Here is a 4,963-nt window from a genome sequence, read left to right as displayed (position 1 = left end):
ACCCTTTTGTTCCCAGTCTAAGGTTCTTTAAAATTACCTAATTAATTAATTAACTAACCAAACATTACTGAGGTCTGCCATTCATCAGGACTTCTCCCAGGTGCTGGGGGACGTAGTATGACTCAGGCATCCTCCCTGTCCTCTCGATCCTGCAGTGCAGTGGAGGCAGAGTGTAGCAAGAAGGGTGCAAACTTGGGCTTCATGTAGATTTGGGTGGGAGTCTCTCTTCTGCCTTTTTCTCACTGTGGGAATGAGAAAAATGAAATGCACATGTTGGCCCTTAAAGCTGTTGCGAAGCTTTAATGAGATAATTCACATAGAACCCTTCACATATTCCTTGGCATATAGTAAATGCTCAATAATAGGTAGCTATTAGTATTATAATGGAGACACTCAGCCCTCGGACCAATCAACTGCCTCAGTTACCTTATTTGAAAAGCGTAGGAAGGCATGTAAAATATTTGCAGAAAATTTGACCTCAAAAAAAGAATACAAGGTTAGCTCGCTTGCCTCAGATAGGGTAGACTGTAATCTGTATACAAAAAAGAAAGGTAATCTGCTTTTTTTTTTCCTCAAAACTGGGAGAGGAAAAGAGAGAATGTGATGATCAGATGAAAAAGAATTTCATTTGTGAGGTGAGAGCTGCATGCATGTTAGGCTATATGCAACTCCTGCCACATTCGCTTCAGACTTTTCAGAGAGAGCCATCATTTCTTTCATAAATAGAAGCCACCTTCCCATTACCCAGTTGACTATGGACCCAGCCCTGCCCTGATTTGGCCACCTCTGGGGCTCCCCCGGAGCCAGGCACAGGCTCTAGGCTGCGTCTCTGACTGGCTGGCATAAGCGGGTCACTGCCTTCAAGGCACTTTTCCGTTTTCATTTATGGACAGAGTCCCATGGGGTGCAAGTCACCCTGGTTTCATGCAGTGTTGCAATCGAAACTATTGAATCTCAAAATGGAATATAATTAAGGCTGGGTTAATAAAGCGTGTTCCACTTGTAGCCAGCAAAGGGTGTCATGTTTCTCCTTGCAGCTTTAGGCAAGGAAACTTAATCTCCAGCTTTGTCAGGGCAGACTGAATCAGAGATGTGTCATCGAGCGGAAAGCTTCTTTTACTTCTTGCAGTCACTACATGGCCAGCCTCATCTCTGTGGATTTATACTGAGCACACAGAATCCAGCCCGTGGCAAGGGCCCCAAGGAAAGGCCAACGCTGCAATATCTTTGAAGACTAATCTGCCTCTGTGTAGGAGGAATTAGGGGACGTTTGCTCTATGCTGGGTCCTGAAACTGATCCTGGAGATAGTACCCCTCAAGTATAGGAGTTGTCAAGGGCACAGGGATGGATGGCTGTGAGCAAAAATGGGATATGGTGTTTTAGACAGTAGGGCTTGAGAGCAGCATGAAGGCTTCGCAGCCTTTGTCTTGCCTTCCTTGCTGCTTTGTGTCCTTTTTCTTTCTTCTTTTCTTCTAGCAACATTGTACTACTCATCCTTCAGCACTCAACATGGCAAGCTTCCCTGACACTCCCAAGCAGAGACTACTGATGCTCATTAAGACCCTCTTAGCACTGAAGCCCACTGTATTATCAATATTGAACATGAATAGCCATTTATTTTGCTTATGATAATCTTTGCTGGGCTCTTTGCCGGGCATTTATATGTTATCTAATCCCATCACCTTGGCGTCCCCTTTAGTATGGACAAGCAAACTGAAGCTCAAAGAGGATGAGTACATTTCCTAGGGACACATAGTGAATTTACTCATCCAACGGATATTTATTCAACTCCTGCTACATGCCAGGTACTGTTTTAGACCCTGGAGATACATCCCTGAACAGACAAAGATGTCTGTCCTCATATAATTTTTATTCTTGTGTGTGTGTGTGTGTGTGTGTGCACGTGCGTGCGTGCATGCATGTATATGTGTATAAACAATAAAGAGGTAAAATATGTAGAATGTTAGAAGGAGATAAGTACTATGAAAAAAATGCAAATGTAAGGCTGAGCTGGAATTTGAACCCAGGTCTGCTTTACACCTAGCGTGCTCCTCACCACTCAGTTATATTGCCTGTGGTTCTCAGATCTTCTTGTAATTATCTATTGACTTGCCAGCCTCTGCCTCCTAAATTGTAAATTTATCTGGGGCAGGGCCTTTCCTATTAATCAGTTGTCCATCCTGGCATGAAGCTCAGTGGCTGGCACAGAGTCAGCATCCAGTGAATGCTTGTCCAGCATGTGAACAAATGAGTGGCCGTATGATGACACAAGAACTTGCTGAAAAGCAGTAATTTCCCAGGAGGCTGGCCAGTCCTGGAGGCCTGACTCTGCCGCAAATGTGTCCTGTTACCTCAGGCAAGTGTTGGAGCCCATAAAATTTGCAGAATGGGAAAAAATAATGACTGTTTTTGACTTCGTTGTAGCTTGGTCATGAAGATTAATGAGACAGTGCTCAGAGACATCCGCTTCTTTAAGGACAGGGACTTGTGTTATTCCCAGGGGTGTGCTCACTGTTCAGAAGGCCAGCAAGGATCTGCCATGGTGTTTTCAGGAGGGATTGGTCCTATAGAAATGAGTTTTGTTTTACTAAAAAGTTTCAAAGAAGATTTTATGAGCTGCCTCTTCTAGGCTGTGGGCCTGTGCAGAGGTTTGCTACCATTTGGAGCAAACGTGAAAACACATTTTTCCCCCCTTTGCCAAAGTGGGCTCTAATTCAGCTCAAAATTAAGTTTTCGTGAATGTTTCTTTCCCATTGTAGAAGTAACAAATGCTGCATGTGGGTTTTTTTTTTTGTTTTTTTTTTTGTTTTTGTTGTGTTTTTTTGAGTGAAATCTCATGCTTGGCTCTACAAGGGCAGCTCCTGGATTGCTTGTCGGCCAGTTGGCAAATATAAGTCATTAAGAAAAGTGGTGCTGGATCTGTGGTCCCTAGGAGAAAAGGGCTCTTCCACTGGACACTGGGAACAGGAAATGGGAAACCCCAGGGATGTCCGAAAAGCATGCAAACTAAACTGGATGCGTAAAGTTTTGTTTAGTTCTCTTTTGTTGCTGACGACTCAGCACCAAACCTGTTCAGTCACTCCTACACTCAGAATGCAGGAGGGAGGCCCTCTCGGGATTTTCCTGTTCACCTGATACTTTGTCTTTAAGGATAATGAACTTGGTTAACTAACAGCCCTGCCAAGATTTTACTTGACATTGGCAAATAGGTCAGCACTGTAGCATTTGCATGATATGGACAGTGAGCATTCTCAAGAGTAGAGAGCTGTTTCCTGGTTGGGAAAATCCCCTATTATTACTCAGCAAAGGTAATAATAGTGTGGATTTCTCTAGTGTCTTTTTTCCTGAGAGTTCAGAGGTCTTTCCTGCTTTATCTTGGTCATCTTCATAGCTCTCTTGTGAAGGTGGAAGCAATTGTTGTCATCTCTACTTTGCGGAAAGGAAAGCTGAGGCATAGTTTGTTGAATTGTCCCACTTCATGTTGATCTTGCTTGGCTGAAGTTCAAGTCTCCTGCCTGCAACAACAGTCAATCGATTTAGGTCTAGATACTAAAGCTCTATTATCTACCAGGCAGGTTCATGCTGGGAGATATATATTTGATAGCTTATTTATTTCACCAAATAAATAATCTGATAAGATAAGCATTCTTATTGCCATTTGCTAGTTTAAATAGGTTGTCCAAGTTGGCGAGTAACTTGCCTCGCCAGTACTTATATGCTGTTGGATGCAAATCCAATGTCTTTGTCTGCATCAAGATGCCTCCCTTGTGCCTACAGAAAGATAGAGTTGCCTCTGGCTCCATTAGACCTATATTGTGCCCAGGCCTGGGGTGAGATGTGGGATGCCTCAGATGGCTAATTTGGCATCTGTTCTTATCAATGTTTTAAAGATATTTGCTCAATATTTATTTTAGTGAAGGAGGAGAGAAGCCGATTCTCTATTATACTGAATTTATTTCACTCTATGTTAACATTGTAAACACAGAATTTGCCAGGGTGCAGGGATGCATGTCTGTAGTCTCAGCTACTCAAGAGGCTGAGGTGGGAGGATCTCATAAGCCCAGGAGACAGAGGTTGCCGTGAGCCAAGATTGTGCCACTGCACTCCAGTCTGGGTGATAGACCCTGTATCAGTAATAATCATTAAAAAATAATAAAACAAGGAATTCATTATATGCATTGCCTCTAATATAATATTTCAGTGTATTTGAAATAGCCATCTAGGTCCTAGTTTTTCCATCACTATATATGGATAGCATAAGTCACTAAAACTCAGAAGGATGAAGGTAACTTCCAATAATATAGTTGCACAATCTCATTCAGAAGAGCTTTAAAATTTGCTATTCCTGGTTTACCTTTTACCAAAAATGTCTCACTTTTCTGTTTTTCACTCTCTTAAGCTTTTTTGGTTTGATTTTCTGATCCAGACAACTTCTTGGGAAGCCTGTTAATGGAATTAAATTTTAAGTAGTACACAAAATCACCCATTGCCAATAAACAGCATGACCCTAGGTATGATTTGGTTTCAGATTTTCTGCTAGCTTCCAGGGAAAATCAGTTGACTGGTCTTTGGATAGGTGGGTAGGCCACGATTGTACTGAGCAATGTCCATAATGAAACTAACCTCATTATTAACAGGGTGATCCCAGTGAGTCGCGATTGTAAAATTTCCACTTGAGGGTGCTCTCTGTTTTACCAGTTCTATACATGGAAATCTGAGTTTACTACCGACCTTATTACTGATTCCCATGATGTTTCAAAATTTGTGGTAGAGACTTCAGTTATGCATATTCTCATATTCTCTCCTTTGGAGCATCTAGAAGGGCCTCACATGCCAGTCTTCTTGCAGTTCAAGAAGTAGGTCCTGCTTCTTGAGTAGGTCCATCCAATGGGCTGTGGGTGGAAGTGATGTTTGTCATTTTGGGCCAAGATATTTAGAAGTGAGGGTGAGTTTCCTCTTCTT

General features: G+C 42.4%; 1 annotated feature.

Annotated features, from left to right (window-relative positions):
- Window positions 842–1,343: an enhancer, noted in NCBI's record as "H3K4me1 hESC enhancer chr9:111313529-111314030 (GRCh37/hg19 assembly coordinates)". NCBI's record gives its function as "activates a minimal SCP1, AML or CMV promoter by ChIP-STARR-seq in primed H9 embryonic stem cells {active_cell/tissue: H9 hESC(primed)}" and the evidence as "EXISTENCE:reporter gene assay evidence [ECO:0000049][PMID:30033119]".

This window comes from Homo sapiens, chromosome 9 (assembly GCF_000001405.40).
Source record: "Homo sapiens chromosome 9, GRCh38.p14 Primary Assembly".
Taxonomy (NCBI): domain Eukaryota; kingdom Metazoa; phylum Chordata; class Mammalia; order Primates; family Hominidae; genus Homo; species Homo sapiens.
The sequence above is the reverse complement of the archived record's forward strand: the minus strand, read 5'-3'. Positions and strand labels throughout refer to the sequence as shown.